The sequence below is a fragment of the Homo sapiens genome, chromosome 11 (genome assembly GCF_000001405.40).
Source record: "Homo sapiens chromosome 11, GRCh38.p14 Primary Assembly".
NCBI classification, from domain to species: domain Eukaryota; kingdom Metazoa; phylum Chordata; class Mammalia; order Primates; family Hominidae; genus Homo; species Homo sapiens.
In genome coordinates this window covers 8,657,568-8,682,004 of record NC_000011.10, presented here as the reverse complement: position 1 = coordinate 8,682,004, position 24,437 = coordinate 8,657,568, and the positions used below count along the sequence as shown (strand labels likewise).

The window sequence follows — 24,437 nt, the reverse complement described above, 5'->3', positions numbered from 1 at the left end:
GGATTTCTTGAGGCGAGTAGTTCAACACCAGCCTGGGCAACATAGTGAGACCCTCGTCTCCACATACAAAAGTAAATAAGTAAAAATAAATGCTATTTTTGAATTTTCTCCAGAATCTACATAACACGCCTGTGACCCTTTCCTGGACACAATGCAGACAGTTGCTCGCTTCCCCACCTGTACCACCACACAATCTAGTATAACCCTTATGTAATTTATTGACCTACGTTTGTCTTCCCTACTAGACCTAATTCCTTATGTGGTCAAGGACTGTTTTTTTTAATCCACACTCAACTAGTGATTGTTGAGTGAATAAATGAACTTACCCTCACCTCCCTGTCTTCGCTAATAGCAGCATGTCTTCGCTCTTAAGTCGGTTCCTTCAACCAGTGTTCAAGATCCCATCCCCTCGCTAGTCTATTAATAGATCCCATGGGAAAAATGAAATAAATTTTTAAAATCCCATCCCCTCAGTTATTCTCTGTGTGTATGTGTGAGCGTGTATTTATTTATTTTTCTTTGTCTTGCCCCCTTCAGCTAAAATATATTTTAGCTAAAATATCCAAAATTCTGGCCGGGCGTGGTGGCTTACTTCTGTAATCCCAGCACTTTGGAAGGCCGAGGCGGGCGGATCACGAGGTCAGGAGATCGAGACCATCCTGGCTAACACGGTGAAACCCCGTCTCTACTAAAAATACAAAAAATTAGATGGGCGTGGTGGTGGGCGCCTGTAGTCCCAGCTACTCGGGAGGCTGAGGCAGGAGAATGGCGTGAACCCGGGAGGCGGAGCTTGTAGTGAACCGAGATCGCGCCACTGCACTGCAGCCTGGGCGACAGAACGAGACTCCGTCTCAAAAAAAAAAAAAAAAATTCCAAAATTCTCCCATGTCCTTGCCCTTACAGCCAAGCTCCCCAAAAGAGTAGTCTACAAATCCTGCCCATTTGCACCTTCCCATCCATTGTTCACTGCGGTCTAGCTCACAGCCTGTGACTTCAGTGAAATTGCTCTTACTAATGTCATTAATGAACGAATTGCCAAATTGGACTCTTCCTATTCTTCATATCACTTGTTCTTTCTGTTGTACTTTAATCTGTTGGCGTCTTTTTCTAGAAAAAGTCTTGCCTTCCTCCTACTCTTTGGTCACTTTTCAGTCTTCTTTTCAGGTTCTTCCATCCAGCGTTGTCCACCATTTGAATGTTGATGTTCCTCAGCCTTCTGTCCTTGTCCTTATCTTTTCACAGTACATGGTCTTCTTGGGTGGCTTCAATTCACATCCTTATTGCTGAGCTCCACACCCATATGGTCACTTAATTACTGGTTAGTATTCCTTGGACATTCTACAGACAAAGTAAACATATCCAAAGAACTCAATCTGCACTGCTCACTGGTGCCTTCTCCTTTATTCTCTGTCTTGGTGAGTGGCACCATTGTCCACCTAGATAATGAAAATTGTCCCCAAGCCTTCTCTTCTTCTACTACACTGTCACCCTATCCTTTTGTTTCTGTATCTCCCCAATGTGCTTCCTCTGTTTAAGCCTTAGTGCCCTGCCTTCATTCAGGCCCCCATCATATCTCTTAACTGGAGTTTACAACACCTTCCTTTGTTCACTCTGCCTGCATTCTAACCCTCCTCCAATTTCTGTATCCTTCACACCTCCACCACGTTAGTATTCCGAAAACATGACTTTCATTCTTTTACTTGATCAAAAAGTTCGGTAGCTCCTTATGACCAACAGAATATAGCCCACTTGCCTTTCCAGCCTTACCCCAGCCTCTCCCTTACACAAGCTTTCTACTGCAGCCGTGCCTGGTATATCCCATTTGCATTTTTGCCTTTGCTCATGCTGTTTCCCATCCCGGAGTGCCCATCCTCTTCCTGACCACATGTCCTGAATCTTCCTCAACCTTTAAGGCCAACTTTATATTCTGCTTCTTCCCAGAACACTTCAGTCCACAAGGATAACAACCAACATTTTCAGAGCACTTGGCAATTTACAAAATACATCTGCCTGAAGGTACAGCACTACCAGCCTCATTTTACGTGTGTGAAAACTGAAGCACAGAAGAATTGGGTGACTTGTCAGACGCTGCATAGGTGGTCAGGTACAGAGCCTGGGCCTAGCCTTTAGTCTTCTCTCTCCAGATCCCCTGCTTTTACCTCAGTGACCAGTCCCTCTCTGACCTTACAGCATTATGGTCTTCATCCCTCCATCAACCTTAATCACATACTGCATGTGACCAGCAGGAAGAGGGGTCTTGAGAATAGGAGGGGAGATCAAAGAAGACATCGTCGTCTATTTGACATCAAAACTGGCCAGTAAGTGCACAAGAAATGAGCTGGGTTACCTGGAACCTAACCTTGGGAAGATGATCTGTCAATGGAGGTAAGCTGGGCAGGGCCTTGGGAATGAAAGGGAACCATCAGTGGTATTAGAGCTGGGGCCTACAATAAGGACCACCACTGCAAGGGGTTGAGGTAGGGTTCTGGGTGCTAAGACACTCCTCTTGGATAGTTTGCCAGGTTCCTTGGTTATAGAGGAGCTACGTTCTGTCCCTCAGGTCACGCGGCTGAACAGAAGGCCTCCCAGAGTGGACCCAGCACTACCCGTTGGGTTCTGTGTTCACCTAACATTCTTCTCATCAATGGCTTGATCTGGTTGTAGAGGGAGTACCCTGGGTAGTTGTCTGGCTCAATCCAGTTTTCTATCCAGCTCCCTCTCCTTCAAAAGGCAACCACATGACTTAAACACACAGCTCATGTGGTGTTTGTTCAGTGTGTGTCACTTTTCCTAGGTTGACAGAGGTCTGAGAGAGCAGACAAAGCTGAGTTTTCTGTCTGCAAAGTGGAGTAGCAGCCAGATATTTGGCATTAGGGGACCTGTCCCTCCCAGCTAGGCACATGGGACATGACCTTTGGCCATGACTCCTGAGGGGTGTCCTTCTCTGTGACATCTCTTCTGAAGTACAGCATGGCTTTGTGACATCTCAGGCATCTGGGCTTCCTCAGAGTGTGAGGGCCTCAGAAAATACCTCAGAAATGAACGGAAGAGATGATACCAGACAGCAGCCTGGTGAGGCAGGCAAGTGTGCTGATTTTTTGCTGCCCCAGGCCTCTCTCCAGGTGGCCTTGGGAACACATCATCACCCTGAAGAAGGCCCTGGTGATCCCTCTTCCTTTCTCTCCTCACTGGGTTCCTGAATTCGACATCAGTCCTTCAGATAGCAGCAACATCCTGAATGAATCCAGCTCTGTTTTCTTGCTCTCCATCTTTAGATGTGGACATTTGGAAATATGTTCGTTTTCTTTTTTAAGTAGAGCACTGTTAATCAAGATGGGAAGAAGCAGTGTTTCTGCTTTTTTTCCAAGTGAGAATTAGAGAAAAGCTCAGAAATCCCAATTTACTTCAGAAAGACTTGAAAAATTATACGTAATAGACAGTACAACAGTAAAGAAAATTCTGAAAAAAATATAAGTATAAGCAACTCAAATCATTCCACCCTGTGATGCCATTTTCTTTTCTGAGTATTACCTTTCAACCCTTGTATACATGGAGACATAGCTGTCTGCAAAGTTAGTGATCATAGTATACAAATCCTTTTGTATTCTTTTTATTTAATACCATGGCAGTTTTTCGTATCACTACCCAGTCTTCATGATTATTTTTAACAGCTGAAGAATAATTTATTTTCAGCATGTGCTATCTTTTATTAAGCCACTTTCTTGTGTATTTTGTTTTTTTAAAAAATTCTTATTGTATTCTTTGCTGTTAGAGACAATGATGGAATGAGCATTTGTATATAATTTTTTCTTCTCCTGTTGAATAACTTGTCTAGGATAAATTCCCAGAAGTGAGACTGCTGGATTATATGGTATGAACATTTTTGTGATTCATTTTATGTTACTATGTATTTTTTCCAAAAGGATCGTACCAATTTATTCACCAGCAATATGTACAGTTTCCAGTTTCATTTTAACCTCCCTAGCCTTGGGGGTTTTTGTTTGCCTTTATCGGTAGTTTTTGATATATGGCATTTAGGGGAAATCCATAGGATCAGGCGAGGTTTTCTTCAGCACAAAGTAAAAATAATCTAATTGGAAGATTAGGAATTTTTAGGAGTCTTTCTTTCCTGTGTTGGATAGAGTGTTCTACATGGCAATTACATTCCTAAAGCTTTATTGGAAACTAGGGTGGAAAACCTTGTTGCCATTAAACTCAGAGTAACAAAACGTGAAAAGAGAAATTCTAGAGTCTTTGAGAACAGCTTATACAATAGCAGAAAAAAGGAGTTACATATTTGGGTTTTACTTTAATTTCAGAGGATAAAATTAATGGAAAGAACACAGAAAGTTGGGTTCATTTCCTAGTTCTGTTTTTTTTGTTGTTGTTTTTAAAGATAAGGTCTTGTATGTTGCCCAGGCTGGTCTCAAACTGCTAGCCTCAAGCAGCCCTCCTACCTCGCCCTCCCAAAGCACTGGGATTACAGGCATGACCATCACGCCCAGCCTCCTAGTTCTGTTTTTACTCACTGAATTATATTGAACAAATAGCATGTTCTCTTTGAATCTGTTTTCTTGTCTGTATAATGAAAAAATAATGAGATTCATTCATTCGTTTTATAAATATTAATTGAGTGTGTACTATGTTCCTATGCTAGGTGCCAGGCAAGTGAGGGGCAGGTACAATTGTGAACAAAAGTCCTTCCCTAAGACTATGTCTAAGACATACATTAAACAAGCAAACAAATAATATATCACATATAACACAGCCTAGCAAAGAGTAGGTACTCTCATTACCTACTATTTCTCGCTCACATTTTCTCCCTAAAATGAGTGTTATTTTTATGATAATTTGTTCTGTACCCTTCATGCAAACAATCTTTGAAATTCTTATTCCCAATGTGATGTGGAATGACTTGTTCCATCATTCCTTAGCAAGGTTAAGGTACTCCAGTAAATATTTTCCTTTTCTTAGATATAGATGTGGTAAGATGTTAAAAGGAGGTGGTTTGTGGCAAGGCAATGTTTTAAAATTTAACTTTTTGTTAACATTTTAAAATGTAAATAAAAATAATTTCCTGGGTTTTGGAAAACTAAGATTTGGAGACATTAGACCCACATTCTTTTAAGTAAAGCACTTCGTTCATATAGATTGCCCAGCCCCTGTAGGCATTTGAATTTACTACCTTGGCTTAAGTACAGTCTTGCAAACTCTGTCCCCTACACTCTTCTAGGTCAGGGGAGATAAGAAGGAGAGGGAAGAACTAAGTTATGATGAAAGCAGCCATAAGAAGGGGGCAGAAATGGGGTCATTTGACCCTTCGTCTTCTCAAATCAGAAACTCATTGTGTGGCTGTGCCTTTAAATTAACCATTTACTTTCATGGAGTTACTTCAATTGCTCTTCTAAGACATAAATGAGATGCCTGTTTCTTTATATTCTTACCCTGTGTAGTACTTGCTGGTGGTGGAAAGCCATGCTACCTCCCTGAATTCCCAGGATTGTGATGCAAGGTCTAATGCAGTAGTTCTCCAAGTGTGGTCTGTAGACCTTATGGGGTGGGGGGTCCCTGAGACCGTTTCAGGGAGTTCACAGGTCAAACAATTTTAATAATAAAGCTAACGTGTTATTTGATCTTTTCACTGGGTTGACATTTGCACTGATGGTGCCAAAGCAATGTTATGTAAAACTGCTGATGTTTTGGGCACCAAACTGGAACAAAACCTTATATTCTTTACCACTAAGCATCTGCCGGTTAAAAAAAAAAAAAAGAAGTTTACCTTAAGAATGTCCATCCATGATGAAGTGGTAACAATTTTTATTAAATCTCAATCCTGAAATTCTTAAGTACTTTTTTAGATTTCTTTTTGATGTTCTGTGTGAAGAAAAAGTATTCCTACTACATATCAAAGTGAGAAACTGTGCTTGTGCTATTGAGTTGCAAGTTAAACTAGCCTTTTAAAAAATGAAACATAATGGACGATGTGGTGGCTCACGCCTGTAATCTTTGGGAAGCTGAGGCGGGTGGATCACGAGGTCTGGAGATTGAGACCATCCTGGCCAACATGGTGAAACCCCGTCTCTACTAAAAATACAAAAATTAGCTGGGCGTAGTGGTGCATGCCTGTAATCCCAGCTACTTGAGAGGCTGAGGCAGGAGAATCGCTTGAACCAGGGAGTCGGAGGTTGCAGTGAATCAAGATCACGCCACTGCACTCCAGCCTGACGACAGAGCGAGACTCTCTCAAAAATTAATAAATAAATAAATAATAATTAAAAAAATAAAAAGTGAAACATCAGTATTACACGAAAGGACAACTGGCAGGCCGGGTGCGATGGCTCATGCCTGTAATCCCAGCACTTTGGGAGGCCAAGGCAGGTGGATCATCTGAGGTCGGGAGTTTGAGATCACCCTAACCAACATGGAGAAACCCTGTCTCTACTAAAAATACAAAATTAGCTGGGTGTGGTGGTGCATGCTTGTAATCCCAGCTGCTCGGGAGGCTGAGGCAGGAGAATCACTTGAACCTGGGAGGTGGAGGTTTCTATGAGCCAAGATCACGCCATTGTACTCCAGCCTGGTTAACAAGGGCAAAACTGCATCTAAAAAAAGAATAACTGGCAGACAAACTGTGGTTATTCAGGCTTGGGAATTTGTCCGATATTTTCTCAAAAGTGAATTGACAGTATTTGTTGCCAATGATAAAATTCAAGCGTTCAAGCAAAAGTTAGAATTCTGGTAGTTTTTGCTGCCTCCATGAATTTGGCAGCTTCTCAATGCTTAAAAGAATTTTCTGATGAGATTCGAGGTGATTCTAAAGAATGTGATTTTTTGTTATTGTGTAATGAAATGTGTCGATATTTGGAACATCTGCATAAGTCATTGAACTGGTATTTTCCAAATGACCAATGCTTGGTGTTAAAAAACTGTGCCTGGGGAAAAGACTAGTTCAAAGAGCAAGATCAGCAGATTTTAATATAACAGAATAAGAAAAGTTTGGTTCAGAGTCTACCTTATAAATAACATTTAAGAAACTACTACCACTGTTGAATTTTGGTGTGGTATCAAAGAATATCCACAATTACCTGATAAGGCTATTAAAGTACTCCTATCTTTTCCAGCTGTATGTCTGTGTGAGACTGGATTTTCCTCATATACTGTGAACAAAACAACATATAACAGATTGACTGCAGAAACAGGTATGGGAGTCCAGCCGTCTTTTATTAAGCCAGATGTTAAAGGGTTTGGCACATATGAGAAACAATGTGACTCTTCTCATTAAATTAATTTTTTTGAAAGTAGTTGATTTTTTTTTTTTAGGCTGGGTGCAGTGGCTCACGCCTATAATCCCAGCACTTCGGGCGGCCAAAATGGAGGATCGCTTGAGTCCAGGAATTTGAGACCAGCTTGGGCTACATAGCAAGACCTGGTCTCTACAAAAATAAAAATGAAAATAAAATAGTCGGGTGTGGTGGCACATGCCTATAGTGCTAGCTGCCTAGGAGGCTGAAGCAAGAAGTTTGGTTGAGCTCAGAAGTTTGAGGCTGCAGTGAACTTCGCACGACTGCCCTCCAGCCTAGGCAACAGAGCAAGACCCTGTCTCAAAAAATAAATAAATAAATAAATGGAAAAAAGGAAATAGTTATTTTTTCCAAAAAGTATGTTATTCGTGTTAACATATAACAAGTTTATTATTTTATGAAAATTAATGTTTTAAAATTTTCTCAGCTTTAACTTCTAATGTGGTAAATAGCAATAGATTTTCTCAGCTTTAACTTCTAGTGTGGTAAATAGCAATAGTTCACATAAATGAACTCTCTTTGGGGTCTTCAATGAGTAAACATATGTAAAGGGATTCCCAAGACCAAAAAGTTTGAGAACTACTGGCCCAGTGAAATAAACTCAGGCATGCTTGAACCTTCTAATAGAGACTGTCCTCGTCTCTAATCATGCTGCTGCTATGGCTGTTTTCTGCTAAATAATGCCCAGAAGGAATTAGAAGTGCAGGTCTATCTATAGCTTTATGTAGTGGCATCTTTCTGGACCCCAGGCAGCCTGGCCTCTCCCAGCCCCATCACCCTTCCTCCTTCCTGAAGGCTTGGCTCCTAAAGACTTCAGACTGGAGTGAAATTTTTCTCAAACTTGCATAATTACCAAGACCCAGATTTGAATTAAATGATTTGTATTTTGTTTCTTAAATAAGTACAAATATAAAACTAGCTACAACTTCCTTTGGCTTTTAGCTGTTATACAACTATAAAACTGAATATAGTTTACAAATTGTAAAAAACTACAAAGCCATCAAATTAATAATATTAATTTCACATGTATGTGATGTTTTTCTAAACTAAACTATCATTATGACTTAAATGTGGTGCTCACTCTTGTAGCTAAGTTCAGCAAACATATGCCACAATGATGATGGCTCAGTTTTCCCACTTCCTTTCTCTGTTCCAAGTACTGTAAAACATGCATCATTTTGTGCCACAATGTTGTTTAGACTTCAAGTGGCAAGAATACATTATTTGTGTATTAAGTCTGCCCCTCTCTCAGCTCATTAACCTGAGACAAGTAATACTGCCTAGTGTGTACTAAATCCTAGACTCTTAACACTACCCCCAAAATCATATTGTGGTAGATATGTAGATAATCCAGACTATACTTTTTAAAACTTTATTATCACAATGAAACACTAATTTTAAAAAATTAGTGGACAGAACTCATGAAAATATGTGTGTGGACCTCAGCTTAAGAACATTTCACTAATTAAGAGTGTGGGCCGGGCTCGGTGGCTCATGCCTGTAATCCCAGCACTTTGGGAGGCCGAGGCGGGTGGATCATGAGGTCAGGAGATCGAGACCACGGTGAAACCCCGTCTCTACTAAAAATACAAAAAAAATTAGCCAGGGCGGTGGTGGGTGCCTGTAGTCCCAGCTACTCGGGAGGCTGAGGCAGAAGAATGGCGTGAACCTGGGAGGTGGAGCTTGCAGTGAGCAGAGATCGCGCCACTGCACTCCAGCCTGGGCAACAGAGCAAGACTCCATCTTAAAAAAAAAAAAAAAAAAAAGAGTATGGGCCAGGTGTGGTGGCTCATGCTTGTAATCCCAGCACTTTGGGAGGCCAAGGCAGGCAGATCACTTGAGCCCAGGAGTTTGAGACCAGCCTGGGCAACATGGTGAAACTCTGTCTACTAAAAATACAAAAAATTAGCCGCATGTGGTGGCATACACCTGTCATCCCAGTTACCTGTGAGGCTGAGGTGGGATGAGGTGGGAGGATCACCTGAGCCTAGGGAGGTCAAGGCTGCAGTGAGCTGTGATTGTGCCACTGCACTCCAGCCTGGGCCACAGAGTGAGATCCTGTCTCAAAAAAAAAAAAAAAAAAAGAGACTGGAGTCCAGAATCAGAAGACTGACCTGGATTTGAATTTGGACTCTGCCATTTGCCATCTGTCTTTGTGCGTGACCCAGCCTCTCTAACACTGTTTCCTCAGCCTGTCCCTCTTGGTTTTATTTAATTTGTAAAAGTGTCTCAACCCCTTTGAAATACAGTATGTAAAGTGCCTGTCATAAACTTGTCAATAATGCAATTTTCTTCCTTTTTCCAAAATTGAAACTTAGGTCAAGCTTGTCTACCAATAAGGAGAGGCACAGGTACGGGACACTTTTGAAGGGTTTGTTCGCCTTCAGACAAACAGCAGACACCTCCACGCTTTGTTTTCCACGGCAGAGATGGCTAGACTCTCTTTTTGGTCCCAGGTGAGGAACTGAGGCTGAGGCATGAGCCTCCAGCTCTGGAGAGGAACATGGCCTGGACTTTTGAGGCCTTGTTCTCGAAGGCCCCTCTGGCCTAAGATTTTTTTCTGCTCAAAATAAGTAGATCACTCTGCTTTGTGCTTCACTTACAGGGAGTGGAGCTGGCTCGCTCTACACGCTGCTTCTCACCTGAGGATATCAGTGGAAAAGCCCCAGTCCTGGGCACAGGCATGGCTGTGGACATGGGCATGAGCTTTATGGGGCTGCCACTAGCTGGCCAGAAACACTGCCCTAAGAGTGGACAGATGGAGGCCATGGTAATGACCTGCTCATTGTGCCATCAGGACCTGCCAGGTATGGGCTCTCATCTCCTATCCTGCCAGCATTTGCTCCGTAAGGACTGCTTCCAGGGCTTGATACAGGAGCTAGGGCAGATTGCCAAGGCTCATGAGACTGTTGCAGATGGTAAGTACAAAGGCACCACAAGTTCACCTCCCACTACATAACAGGTCTCTTCCTGTTTCATAGGAACTGAATTTTGGGTGTAGAAAGAATCAGAATTTAAATGCCCAAGGGACACTCATTGCTGAAAGCAATCTTTGGGGGAATCTGTGAGACAGAGTGAATCCTCTTGATGCCTAATATATCTGTTTTGTAAGCTGGAACTTTTCATGTTTGGGATTTCCTTAAATTGGTGGCAGACTAAGAAGCCTGGAAAGGTTTTGATTCAAAGTTTGGCTGCCTCCCCAGACGGAGAGGATGTGTTCTGACTCACTAAATCTCCAAGGCAGAGAGAGAATGGCTGGCCTCCTAGGGTTAGTCAGGAACAGATTTTGAATAGAATCACACTGACTAGTGAACTATTCAGTATTTAAGCTGCTGCCCAGCAGGGAGGAGCCTGTGTCTTCCTCCAGAATGTCAGGTTTCCTAGGAAACGGTCTCACTGGGAACTGTGCAGTCACTGGAGACGGGAACCGGGTCACTTCATTTTATTATTCTAGCACAGGACATGTCACAGAGGTACAGTGAATATCCATTGAATGAAATTATGCAGTGAGAAAGTCAAATAAGTTGGCAACACTTAGAAATACCGTTGTTGATCTTTTCTGTTTGTTTTGTTCTCTGCAGTATTTCCCAAGTGATTTGAAGCACAAATCTAGGCTCTCTGTGAGGCATTATAGCACTGGTTAAAAATGGGGACTTCAAAGTGCTGGGATTACAGGCGTGAGCCGTTGCACCCGGCCCACACTCTTAATTAGTGAAATGTTCTCAAGCTGAGGTCCACACACATATTTTCATGAGTCCTGTCCAATAATTTTTTAAAATTAGTGTTTCATTGTGATAATAGAGTTTTAAAAACTATAGTCTGGATTATCTACATATTTAAGCCCTCTGAACCCATGGGCAAGCTACCTTGCCTCTCAGAGTCTGCTGAGAGTTTGGAGTACAGGAAAGATACGATCTATTTTGATTTTTTTACATTAATATATGATTTTTAAACATAAACTTAGTTTTTCCTTAATCTTAATTTTAATTAACAAATCTTACTGTCTTTATAAGTGGCATAAATTTTAACAATGCCATTTAAAGGGCCTTTGATTAATATGCAAACTTAGTTACAAATTTTGTTAATATTGGCTTTTATAAAATAAAATGTAATTTATTTTCTTTGTAAGTACTCCAATTATCTAGCAAATAGGCATTCCTGATTACTTAAAGAACTCTTGAAAATCCAGTGAGTTAAATTTATAAATATGGTGAATCATAAATATATCTTGAAAGTTCCAGCATTATAGAAAACCAAATACTTAATGTTCTCACTTATAAGTGGAAACTAAAGATTGAGTACATGTGGACACAAAGATGGCATCAGCAGATACTGGGACCTGCTTGAGGGTGGAGGGTGGAAGGAGAGTGAGGGTCAAAAAACTACCTATCAGGCCTGGTGCAGTGGCTCACGCCTATAATCCCAGCACTTTGGGAGGCCAAGGCAGCGAATCATCTGAGGTCAGGAGTTCGAGACCAGCCTGGGCAACATGGTGAAACCCTATCTCTACTAAAAATACAAAAATTAGCCGGGCATGGTGTTGCGTGCCTATAGTCCCAGCTACTCGGGAGGCTGAGGCATGAGAATCACTTGAACCCAGGAGGTGGAAGTTGCAGTGAGCCAAGATCGCACCACTGCATGCCAGCCTGGGTGACAGAGTGAGACTCTGTCTCAAAAAAAAAAAAATAAATAAAAACAAAACAAGACAAAACAAAAAACTACCCATCAGGTACTGTGATTATTACCTGGGTGATGAAATAATCTGTACACCAAACCCCCATGACACACAATGTACCTATATAACAAACCTAAATATGTACCCCTGAACCTAAAATAAAACTTAAAAGAAATAAATGAGATGGTCAGGTTTGGTTCAATTCCAGTGCCTAAGGGCAGAGGAGAGGGCTGATTACTGTTAGTCCCTCAGGCTTAATGCAGTGTTGCTTAACAATCTCTGACCCTGGCCCCACAGCCCTTGGACAGACCTGAGGCCTGAGTGATAGGTGGCTGCCACTAGGGGTTGTGAATAAAATCCCAAAAGGAGTTTTTTTTTTTTTTTTTGAGACAGGGTCTCACTCTGTCGCCCAGGCTGGAGTGCAGTGGTGCGATCTCGGCTCACTGCAGCCTCTGCCTCCTGGGTTCAAGTGATTCTCCTGCGTCAACCTCCCAAATACCTGGGACTACAGCATGTGCCACCACACCCAGCTAATTTTTGTATTTTTAGTAGAGACAGGGTTTCGCCATGTTGGCCAGGCTGGTTTTGAACTCCTGACCTCAAGTGACCTGCCTGCCTCGGCCTCCCAAAGTGCTGGGATTACAGGCGTGAGCCACTGCACCTGGCCCTAAAGGAGTTTTATTAAAATCATGTTGGACAATGAGGATGCAAGGTATTACCATTGATTTCAGCAGTATTGACAGTATGAAGGATGGTGCCTGTGACTTTACCGTAATTCTTCAGTAATGGTAAATAGCACTGTTGGTATTAGCAGCAATAGGAGATGGCAGTCTCAATGCATCAACATAAGGCAGTCTATGCTTTGGACCAAATGATATTGGGCCTCTGCAGCAGTGGTGGCACCTTTTGTCAGCTTTGATGATGGTGCCCTTCATCACTATGGGGATTTAAAGATGGCCACAATTCTTTTCTGCCACCCATCCCACCAAGAGGTGAAGTCTATTTGTTTCCTTTGAATCTGTATTGTTCTATGACTTACTTTAACCACTGGAATGTGGCAGAAATGTTACTGTGTAACTTCAAAGGCTGGACCTCAGGAGATCTGCAATGTCTAAGTTTGCTGCTTGGAATATGCCATCTTGGGACTGGGCGCGGTGGCTCATGCCTGTAATCCCAGCACTTTGGGAGGCCGAGGTGGGCGGATTACCTGAGCTCAGGAGTTCGAGACCAGCCTGGGCAACATGGTGAAACCCCGTCTCTACTAAAATACAAAAAGTTGGCTGGGCGTGGCAGCGTGCGCCTGTAATCCCAGCTACTCGGGAGGCTGAGGCAGGACAATGGTGTGAACCCGGGAGGCGGAGATTGCAGTGAGCCGAGATGGCACCACTGCACTCCAGCCTGGGCGACAGAGCGAGACTCCATCTCAAAAAAAAAAAAATAAATAAAAATAAAAGGAATATGCCATCTTGGAATCCAATCTCCATGCTATGAGCAAGCCCAGGCAGTCACATGGAGAGTAGAACTGAGGTTTCTGCCTGACAACCAGTACCAGTTGCCAGCCATGAGTGAGGCTGTTTTGGACTGGGCCATCTCAGTATCCCAGATGACATCACTGAAGCAGAAGAACTACTCAGTCAACCCATGGAATCATTGAAAGTAATAAACTTCTGATGTTTTAAGCCATGAAAAAAAAAGTTCCAGCATTGTTGGGTTAATATCTAGAATATATAAAGAACTCCTACAACTCAACAATAAAAAAAAAAACCTGATTTTAAAATGGGCAAAAGACTTGAATATACATTTCTCCAAAGATGAAGTACAAATAACCAATAAGCCCAAGAAAAAATGCTCAACATCACTAATCACTAGGGAAATGCAAATCAAAACCATGATGAGAAACCACCTCAAGTACATTAGGATGGCTATCAAACAAACCAAAAAAATCCCAGAAAATAATAAATGTTGACAAGAATGTAGAGAAATTGGAATATTTGTGCACTGTTGGAGGGAATATAATACAGTGTGGCTGCTGTGGAAAATATGGCAGTTCCTCAGAAAATTGAAAATCAAATTATCCTATGATCCAGCAATTCCATTCTGGATATATGCTTAAAAGAATTTAAAGTAGGGACTTGAAGAGATATTTGTACACCCATGTTTCTAGCAGCATTATTTGCAGTAGCCAAAAGGTGGAAGTAACCCAAGTGTTAATCAACAGATGAATGGATAAACAAAATGTGGTATATACATATAATGGAATATTATTCAGCCTTAATAAGGAAGGAAGTTCTGACACATGCTACAACATGGATGAAGCTTTAGGACATTATGCTAAATGAGGTAAGCCTGTCATAACAGGGCAAGTACTGTATGATTCTGGTTACATGAGATGTTCAGAGTAGTCAGCTTCGTAGAGATAGAAACTAGAAAGGTGATTTCTAGGGGCTGGGGGAATGGTGAGTTGTTATTTGATGGGTACAGAGTTTCAGTTTGCCCATTTTTTAATGGGGTTGTCATTGTTAGTGTTGAACTGTAGAAGTTCCTTACACATTCTGGATACCAATCTCTTATTAGATATATGATTTGCAAATATTTTCTCCCATTCTGTGAGTTGCTTTTTCATTCTGTTGATAGTGTCCTGGGATGCACAAAGTTTTAAATTTTCATGAAGTCCAACTTATCTATGTTTTTTGTTGTTGTTGTCTGTGCTTTTGGTGTCACATTCAAGAAATCATTGCCAAATCCAATGTCATAAATATTTTCCCCTCTGTTTTCTTCTAGGAGTTTTATAGTTTTAGCTCTTAAGTTCAGGTCTTTGATCTCATTTAAGGTTTTTAATGTGAATGAATTATGCATGTGTCAAGGCTGTGTTTGACTCTAAAAGGAGAACATTAAATTCATATTAATGGTCTGGGTGCTTTGGTGGCTCATGCCTGTAATCCCAGCACTTTGAGAGGCCAAGGCAGGTGGATCACCTGAGGTCAGGAGAAGACCAGCCTGGTTAACATGGCGAAACCCTGTCTCTACTAAAAATACAAAAAAAAAGTTGCCGGGTGTGTTGGCAGGTACCAGTGGTGGCAGACACCAGCTACTCGGGAGGCTCAGGCAGGAGAACCACTTGAACCCAGGAAGTGGAGGTTGCAGTGAGCTGAGATCGCGCCACTGCACTCCAGCCTGGGCGACAAAGTGAGACTCCATCTCTGTCTATATGTATGACAATTACCTGAATCATAGTATTTGTTGCCAAGTTATTCTAATTGCAATGAAGAATAAAAACAAAAGCTTTGGTGTCAGTATATTTGGCCATCTGAGTGTCATTCCTGATCTGCCTGCCATTACTAGCTGTGTAATTTAGGCAAGTTACTTCATCTCTCTGCCCAAGAGGTTTTTTTTGCCTGTAAAATGGGGTTAATGGTGGTAGTTACTAACTCATAGGACTGTTGTGAAGATGAAATGAGGACATATACATAAAGCCTTCTGTACTATGCCTCGTTTATAGAAAGAAGGTAAGAAAGGTAAAAAAACAAAAAGTGCTGTTATTTAGAACTTGAGAACATGTGAAATAGGGGAAAAAAGCCTGTTAGATGGAAACATGCTTAATTTGGAACCAGAGAGTCAATTTCTCATATAATATGTATAATATGTGGCATCTTATATTCTTTTTTTTTTTTTTTTTTTTTTTTTTTTCTGAGGCGGAGTTTTGCTCTTGTTGCCCAGGCTGGATTGCAATGGCGCGATCTTGGCTCACTGGAACCTCTGCCTCCCGGGTTCAAGCGATTCTCCTCTCTCAGCCTCCCGAGTAGCTAGAATTACAGGTGCCCACCACCATGCCCAGCTAATTTTTTTGTATTTTTAGTAGAGATGGGGTTTCGCCATATTGGCCAGGCTGGTCTCAAACTCCTGACCTCTGGTGATCTGCCCACCTCGGCCTCCCAAAGTACCAGAATTACAGGAGTGAGCCACTGCGCCCAGCTTCTTATATTCTTTAGTAGGTCTTACAGTCTGGCTGGGTCATGGTTACCTTCCACATTTACGTTTATGGGTAAAAAGTTGAATAAACTTCCTCTTTTTTTATTTTTTGAGATGGAGTCTCACTCTGTCACCCAGGCTGGAGTGCAGTGGTGAGATCTCGGCTCACTGCAAACTCCACCTCCCGGGTTCACACCATTCTCCTGCCTCAGCCTCCTGAGTAGCTGGGACTACAGGCGCCCACCACCACGCCCGGCTAATTTTTTGTATTTTTAGTAGAGACAGGATTTCACCGTGTTAGCCAGGATGGTCTCGATCTCCTGATCTGCCCGCCTCGGCCTCCCAAAGTGCTGGGATTACAGGCATGAGCCACCGTGCCTGGCTTAACTTCCTCTTTATTACTTGGAACTATTAGGACCCTATGTGGTGTGGTATTTGTTGGTTTGTGTGTCTGTCTCTCCCCCATGGATATTTATTGACTACTGTGTACCAGGCTGTATGGCATTTAGGGTACAGAGATGAAAAGACAGAGCCCTTGACTTCAAAGAGCTCATAGTCTAATGAATGACAGCCAAATAAACAGGTGATAATAATACAGTGAAGAGAAGATTGTTTAAAGTTCAAGCAAAGGATCAATAACTCAGGTAAGTTGTCCACGTACTAGGACTGGCAGATATCAGTTGCCCACTGAATATTTTCTGAAGGGTCAAAAGAATGGCTCCCAAATCAGCTGTCTGATGAAAGGCAGAGCTGTCACCTGTCTCTGGCTAGCCTAGTGAAATACCTAATACCTGAACTTAGATTTCTGGTCTGTAGTTTGAGAAGCCATGTTTGGAGAGAGTTTTTAGTGCAGTCAGTTTGTCCAGCAGAGTAGGAACACAGGCTTTCTGGAACGTTTATCCTCTTTCTGTGAATCTGGGCAGAAATCTGTTTTTTTTTTTTTAAAGTAAAATGTGGGAGCCGGTAGAGGGATGGCAGGGGAGGCGGATAGAGGCTGAGGAATAAACAAGTTCCTAGCTTCAATGCCTCCAACCAGATGGAGCCACGCTACATGGGGCTGAGTTCATTTCTATAAACCTGTTTCTCCTACTTGCTGGGCAGAGCCGAGCAGTTGCTGTGTTGAATGGAAGAGGGGCTGTGCCTGGGCTCAGGGTCTGTCCAGCTTGTTTTCAACTCTAATTCTTCAACAGAGCCTCCCCAGGGCTGTACTCCTGCTCTGGGGCTTGGAACTGAGGGGATGTCATGAGGTAGGCATCTTCTCATTCAACCAGACGGTGCCTTTCATGTTTGTAACCCCGCAGCCCAACACAGAACATGATACAGGAGAGGAGGTCTTAAGTGAATATTTATAGAATAAATGACTTAATCAATAAAGCCTGGGTAGAAGGCTTTTTTCACTTGTGATCTGTCCCTTTTTGTTCTTCAAGTGGGAGTTACAAAATGCATTTATCAAGCACTTACTGGTTGGCAGACACTGTACAGGCATTATCTTTTGTAAACTTCACAGCAGCCTTATAAAGTAGGTATTAGTATTCCCATTTTATAGATGAAAAATATGAGGATTGGGATATTTATAGACTAAGGTTAACAACTACTGCCCGGTAAGGTCAAATTCAGGTTCACCTGTCTTCAAAGCTTGCGATCGACATTGTGGCACTTTGCTCACGGGGAGAGTCCACGCTCACTTAGAATACCAAACTGATGAGGAGAGTCCATGGAAAATCTTTGAAGAAAGAACAAATCCTGCAGCCTGAGCCAGCAAATATAAATATTTTTTAATTAAAAAAATTTTTAACTGACATGTAAAACTGTATGTATTTACAGTGTACAACATGATGTTTTGAAGTATAGATACGTTGCAGAATGACTAAATCTAGCCAGTTAACATATACAACACCTCACATAGTTATCATTTTGGTGGTGAGAACACTTTACATCTACTCTCTTGGCATCTTTCAAGAATACAATATATTATTAACCATACTTATCATGCTGTACAATGGATCTCTTGAACTGACTCCTGCTATCTAACTTGGATTTTGTATTCTTTCACCAACATCTCCCTAACTACCCTTGCCCCCTGCCAACCACTCTAGCCCCTGGTAGCTGCTCTTTTACTCTCCGCTTTTATGAGATCAGTTTTTTTAGATTCTACGTGAGTGAGCTTATACAGTATTTGTCTTTCCGTACCTGGCTTATTTCACTTACAATGTGCTGTAAGTACAACCATGTTGTCACAAATGACAGGTTTTCCTTTTTTTTAATGGTTGAATAGTATTGTGTATATATATCACATTTTCTTTATCCATTCATCAGTAGACACTTAGGTTGATTCCCTGTCCTGGCTATTGTGAATAATACAGCAATGAACATGGGAGTGCAGGTATGTCTCTGACATGCTGATTTCATTTTCTTTGGAAATACAGTAGTCCCCTCCCCCCGCATCCAAGGTTTTGCTTTTCAAGTTTTTAGTTACTCACAGCCTGAAAATATTAAGAGATTTTGTGGGGGGGCAGGGGGAAGAGAGAGAGAGCGAGACAGTAGAGGCTGCATTCATGTTGCTTTTATTACAGTATATTCTTATAGTTGTTCTATTTTATTATTAGTTATTGTTAATCTCCTACTGTGCCTAATTTACAAATTAAACTTTATCATAGGTATGTATGCATAGGAAAAATATAGTATATATAGGGTTTGGTACTATCCACTGTTTCAGGCATCTTGGAAAGTAGCCCCCATGAATAAGGGGGGGACTATTGTATACTCAGTATTTGAATTGCTGGATCAAGTGCAAATCTTTAATTAATACAGCCACAGCCTAGCTGAGATTCTCCCCAGCAACTAGGAAGATGGGTCTGCGTCACCTCTCAGGTACTGAGGAGACCAGCTGGGCAAGATCTTCAAAAGCTAATGATGGGGACCAGAGCAAAGGTAGGAGTGTGGTGAGAATACAGTGGCCTAGCCATGCAGTGGGATGGCTGGGTACACAAATGCTAGCTATTGGAATTGGATTTTCTCAGCCAATGAGAATATCTACTTGGGGCTATTTGCTTTTTTGGCTAATTAAGAATGGTCCCAGGTCAAATTCTGTCTGGAAAGTTGGCCACTGAGTACCAAAATTATACTTTAAGTAAATGTAGCAAGCTCTGAAGGGAGCTAACATCCCTGAAACTGACTCTTACCATATGCTGGCTCTGTCTTCAAGGTTCTCAGAGTTGCTGTGGTTTTATTTGTCATTTTAGGAAAGGGAAGAGGGAATTGATTGGATATTTCCTTCCCCATGTGAGGAAAAGGAACATTACTTATTGTTTCTCTTCAAATCAATTAAAAGACAAATCATGGCTGGAAGACTTTGATACTTAGATACAGATTTCAGAATCTACTTGTTTAGTATCTTATTTTTCCCATTTTCAAAGTTGAGGATGTAGCTGGAAGTCACAGACCCTAGAGCTCACCTGGACACTAGCACTAATTGACTGGGCAATTCTAAGCCCTTTCTGGCTTTCAGGGCTAGACTTAATGAGATTTAAGAACACCAAATAACTACCATAGCCCGATGCTTCTTGAAGCTAGTGAAGAGTGACAGCATCCCCGAACACTACTAATGCTGAAAGGAGGAGCAATCACGGTCCCTCGGTGGGCAGGCCTTGGGACTTTAGGAATATCCAAAGAGGGGGAACTGATGCAAGATGCTACAACCTTAGAATCAGAGAGGGAAATGACACTTATCTTAATGAGCAGCTCAGCTGCAGGGGTTCTAATGGTCTTGGGTGGGAATGGGAGGCCAGAGGTGAGATCTCAGCTGTAGGAGCCTGGGAGGTGGGTGACTACTCTTTGCTCATTCCAGGTGCTGCAGTGTGTCCAGCCTTGTGGGGTCTGTTGTGGGCAGTAACTCAAGTCTCCCAGGTGAAGGGCAGGCTGGTGAGCTGGGTGTGCAGCAGGTGCAGAAGCTGGAGCCTGGAGCCCTGTCAGTGGAGTGGCTTTTTAGTTCACGAACAGTTTCCTCGCCTTAATTGGCTCTCTAGGGCCCTGGGAATAGCACTGGCACCCCAGAACAGGACCCATTACTGGGAGAGCAATTCCCCCGGTAATGGAAAGGAGGCAGGCTGTGTTTTGGGGGAGGTGCTTGCTGCTGCCAGTGCTGCTTGGAAGGCTATAGCTAGAACAGATTTGCTGAGGGAGGGAGCTCGAGATGGCTGTGATTGATGGATGGGATCTTTGAGGGGCCTCTTGTCTGCTGGAACTTTCTGATTTAAGGGGGAGTGGTTAGGGTTGAGTGCTGTGGAGGCCAAAAGGCAGGGAAGGCCCTTAATCTCCAATCCCTCCTGCATAGATGAAGCATCAGGAGTCCAGGAAGGGCTAGGATCCTGCTGAAAACCACATAATCGGTCACTTGCAGAGCCAGGAAAAAAATCCAGCTCCTTTGCCTGACAGTCCAGGGCTTTCCTGGGCTTGAGGGCCAGTAGAAACTACAGACCCAGAATAGGATGCTGCCCTTGGTTCCCCAAATGACTCTCTGTCTCCAGGCCCAGCTGGAAAAGGGATCAGTGGTTTTGCATGGAGTGTGTCAGTGCATCAGTTTTTGGATTGACTTTAAGATTTGGGATGAAAAGAGACAGAGGTGCTACCTCGGTCAGTGAGGGTCTGTCAGATGAAATGAGCCCAGACTCATCCTACCTGTACTTTTTGCATTATACTGTGGGTACTTTCTTGGCACAGAAAGCCTGTTTCACAGCCAGGTGGTTCCTAGGAGCATGGGCTCTGAAGGCTGTGGATCGTGCATCCATCTCCAGCCCCAGCCAGTCACCTGGCTTTCATAGCCAGATTCTGACTCTTGGCTCAGGCCGGCTGTCTGGCTCTTCCTCACAGGCCCTGGATATCTGCCTGACCTCAGTTTATTCCCTATTCTTTCCTACAGTGATATTTTTCCTGACGTCACTTCACTTATTGCTACTGTGATTATGCTTCCAAATCCTCTAGCTTTGACCCTGATCACTCCCTCTGACTCCGGGACTACACTTCTAGCTCTCTAAAGGCTTCCAATTGCTTGCAGTTTAGAACAGACACTTAGCATGGCCTCCAAGTCTTTTCATAATCTGGTCCCAAACTAATGCTGTAGCCTCACCTCCTGTCATTTCTCTATATGTTGTAGCCTTACAAGACTTTCCAAAGAGACCTCACACTTTCATATCTATAATTCTCCATTTATGATGTTCTTTCCTCCTGAAATGCCTTTTCTTGCTTGAAACATCCTACACAAACTTGAAGGTCCAGCTCAGATGTGACCCAGTTATCAGAATTAGAGTTCACAAAGATGGACGTGGGCTTGGAACAAGCAAAATCCCCGTAATCAGAATTAAACTCCAAAGGGTGAGGCTAGCACAATTTAAGGAGCTGTTGCTTTAGGCCAGATGTCATAAACTTTCTGCACAAGGCTAGATAGTAAATATTTTAGGCTTTGTGGGTCATACAGTCTCTGTTACAACTACTTAGCTCTACCATTGTAGCAGAAAAGCAGAAGGCAGCCATAGACAATATGGAAATGAATGGGCATTACTGTATTCTTTATTTACAAGAACAGGCAGTCTGTGGTTTTCTGACCCCTGTTTTAGGTTCTGTCTGGGGAAATTGGGTGGTTTGAATCTGTAGGTGACACCAAGTAGGAATAGCTGTAGAGGAACCAGGCAGAGTCAGAAAAATGTGCAAGGGACTCCCAGGTAGGGAATAGTGTTAGGATGAGGCACACGCAGGGGAGGGGAAGGCAAATATTAGAAACAGGAGGGAGTTAATTTTGGCTGGAGTATGGGATGCTTGAAGGAGAGAAGTGGGGATTCTGTTCAGAAAGGAAATTTAGGGCCAAATTGTGAAGGATCTTGATTAAGCTATTCTGTGGACAGTGGGGAGCCATTGAAGGTTTTTGATCAGTGGAATATGGTCACATATCCTGAGGTCAGGAGTTCAACACCAGCCTGGGCAACATAGTAAGGCCCTGTCTCTACAAAAAATAGAAAATAAAAAATAAATTAGCTGGTTGCACGCCTGTAGTCCCAGCTGCTTGGGAGGCCGAGGCAGGAGGATCACTTGAGCCCAGGAGGTTGAGGCTGCAGTGAGCCATGATCATGCCACCACACTCCAGCCTGGGTGACAGAATGAAACACTGTCTCAAAACAAACAAAGACAAACAAACAAGAAAAAAACAAATTCAGTTGGCCCAGTGAGAAGAATGATTGGAGGAGACAGGACTGGATACAGGAAGACCTGCTGGACAACCGCAGCTGTCCAGGCCATTGGTTCCTGATTGCTGGGCCTTGAACCAGTGCTGGTCTGAATGCCTAAGAATTGTTTGTGATGCTTGCTAAAAATACAGATTCCCAGTCCCACACCCACACACAAGAGATTTGGGTTTGGTAGATTCAGGATTTCTAACAAGCTCTCCAGATTGGGGCATCACTGGTCCAGGCAAGGCAGAATGAGGCCTGATATTAAGAGGGCAAGGATGCCAGAGAAAGGAAGGTATAGATAACATGAGATTTGGCCACTGCTCTCTTCCTCCTGTTACCTACCTCTGTTCATGACAGCCCCTCCACTTGATTCCTTGTTCTTCACACACCACCACTAGCCCCAACATCCTAATTTGCTTGTGTCCTGTCAGTTCTCTTTGAAATGAGTCTTCTTTTGCTTTTTTCCATTTTTACCCTTATTTAGGGTCCCATTAATGCTCAACTACCCTGACCTCCCTGTGTTCAGTCCATCAAGATAATCATAAAGCCCAGCTCAGTCACTCTCCAGAAACTTTTTGGGCTGCCTTTTATTTTAGGATGAAGGTCAAGCTCCTGAGCTTAGCATTCAGGTCCCTTCAGGAGCTTACTCTCCTTCCGGTCTTTCCAAGCACATCCCTGCCACTCCCCCTCATCTGGTTGCTCTGTGCTTTTGAAATTATGCTGTACTTGTAGTCTTGCCCCATCCTAATGTCTCCTCCAGTCAACCCTGTTCATTCTTCCCTTTTTCCCTCCCTGCTTGTGTGTGACTGGATCTTCCTGGTGGGTAGAGTTAACTGCCAAGGGAGACCTCCCAGGACCTTTGTGCATCGTAAATGTGTGTCTTCTCCATCCGAAGTCCTAATCCTCTGCTTGTGACGGACAATTGGTCACTATGGCAACTGACTGTGACGTCACAGGATAAGGACTTCAGGTGAAGTGGCAGGAGCAGGTGAGTATGTAGGAGACAGATTTCAATGTCTGTTGAAGGCCCCCCCACACCCTCCTTCAGTGCCGGGGGCATGGAGGGATATCTTGGGCTCCTGCTGTTTTTTAAAATGATGCGGTGAGAGTGTGTGCCTGGCATCTGCGTGCTGCAGCAGTGTGGGGCTGACAGAGTGTGTCAACTTGAGCTCTGGCTGTGCAGGCACCGCTGCTGCGTGAGCCTGTTATTCCATTCTGGATTGCTATTTTGATACCCAGATTGCATCATTCTTCCTACGTATAAACAGGGGGTCCCCAGGGTCCTGCAGCTACTCACTTCACCACCAACACTGTTGTTGTGATGAGCTCTATTTAAATGAGCTGCCGGATCGGGGCAGGTTCCAGCCACACATGAGCACTGTCATTTTGGGGAACATGGAGGGCTGAAGGATTTTTGGATGGAGTCCTAAAAGGCTGAGAGTGCTGTCTCCCGAGCTGTGCAGAGGGCGACAGAGCTAGTTCCTGAAAGTTGAAAATGTCGTTTTCTTCCTTCTGAGCTTCTATTCCAAGGCACCCAGAGGATTAGGAAGGAGATGCAGCTAGGAAGAGAGTCGCCTCTTTGAGGTCTCCCTCTTGCTGTTCAGTTTGGGAAAATTGCTGCAGAGCCTTCGAGATAAACAGAAACAGGAGGAGTCAACCAAGCTCTTTCTTGCAGGAGTATCTCAGGTGAGCTAGAGAAATGCAGCCCTGGCTGAGGATGCATCAGAGAAAGGAGGAGAGGATCCAGGCTGCTCCCCTTACCCTATCCAGTATCCATTCCCCGAGGCTTAGGCCTTGCAGCCCGCCTGGCTGCAGCATGCAGGGTGGGTGTTCCTGGGCGCTTGGTAAGCGCCATCCTCTGGGACCTGTGGTGGTCTCACCTGTCGCTTCTCTGACTTCTCTCCCAGTGTTGCCCTAATCACGGCAGCAGGGCCACAGATAAGCCTGCTGGCAGCTGGGGCAGAAGCAGCAGTCACTTTAGGGGTGACTTGGACAAAAATTTGTCTTTCTAGCAGGGTCTGGGTATTTGGGGATTGGGTGCAACATGTTTCTTGAAGGTGGTGCTGCTCTGAGTGGTGGGTTGGAGGAAGCCTTCAGGGGCTGTGTGGTGGGGGCCTTAGCTGGTGCTCCTGGTGCTCAGTAGACTGGGGCTGCCCGGGGGTGGGAGGGCAGGACTGTTGGTGAGGATGTCCAGCCTGCCAGAGGATACAACTAGAGTGTTTTTTCTCGTTGCTTAGTGTCTGACAGAGGCATAGGGAGGTAGAGCATCTT

General features: G+C 43.4%; 1 protein-coding gene across 31 annotated transcripts in view, besides 1 other annotated feature; it reads left to right on the top strand.

The window, feature by feature from the left end:
- TRIM66 (tripartite motif containing 66) overlaps nucleotides 1-24,437 on the top strand; it is a 71,192-nt gene that overhangs the window by 1,227 nt on the left and 45,528 nt on the right. For 10 of the 31 annotated variants that reach the window (XR_930930.2, XR_930929.2, XR_930931.2 and 7 more), the window contains exons 2-6: nucleotides 1,942-2,104; nucleotides 2,191-2,385; nucleotides 7,122-7,199; nucleotides 9,620-9,757; nucleotides 9,907-10,219. Coding sequence is in view for 20 of the 31 variants with exons in the window: in XM_017018629.2 (XP_016874118.1) it covers nucleotides 9,731-9,757; nucleotides 9,907-10,219 (340 nt within the window). In the remaining 11 variants the exon portion in view is untranslated. Of the gene's footprint in view, nucleotides 1-1,941; nucleotides 2,105-2,190; nucleotides 2,386-3,835; nucleotides 3,872-7,121; nucleotides 7,200-9,619; nucleotides 9,758-9,906; nucleotides 10,220-15,648; nucleotides 18,329-18,756; nucleotides 18,877-23,118; nucleotides 23,853-24,437 lie in introns of those variants that run through there. The other 21 variants (NM_001388024.1, XM_047427940.1, XM_011520504.1 and 18 more) reach the window with 13 other exon arrangements.
- Nucleotides 10,556-11,163: an enhancer, noted in NCBI's record as "OCT4-NANOG-H3K27ac hESC enhancer chr11:8692389-8692996 (GRCh37/hg19 assembly coordinates)". NCBI's record gives its function as "activates a minimal SCP1, AML or CMV promoter by ChIP-STARR-seq in naive H9 embryonic stem cells {active_cell/tissue: H9 hESC(naive)}" and the evidence as "EXISTENCE:reporter gene assay evidence [ECO:0000049][PMID:30033119]".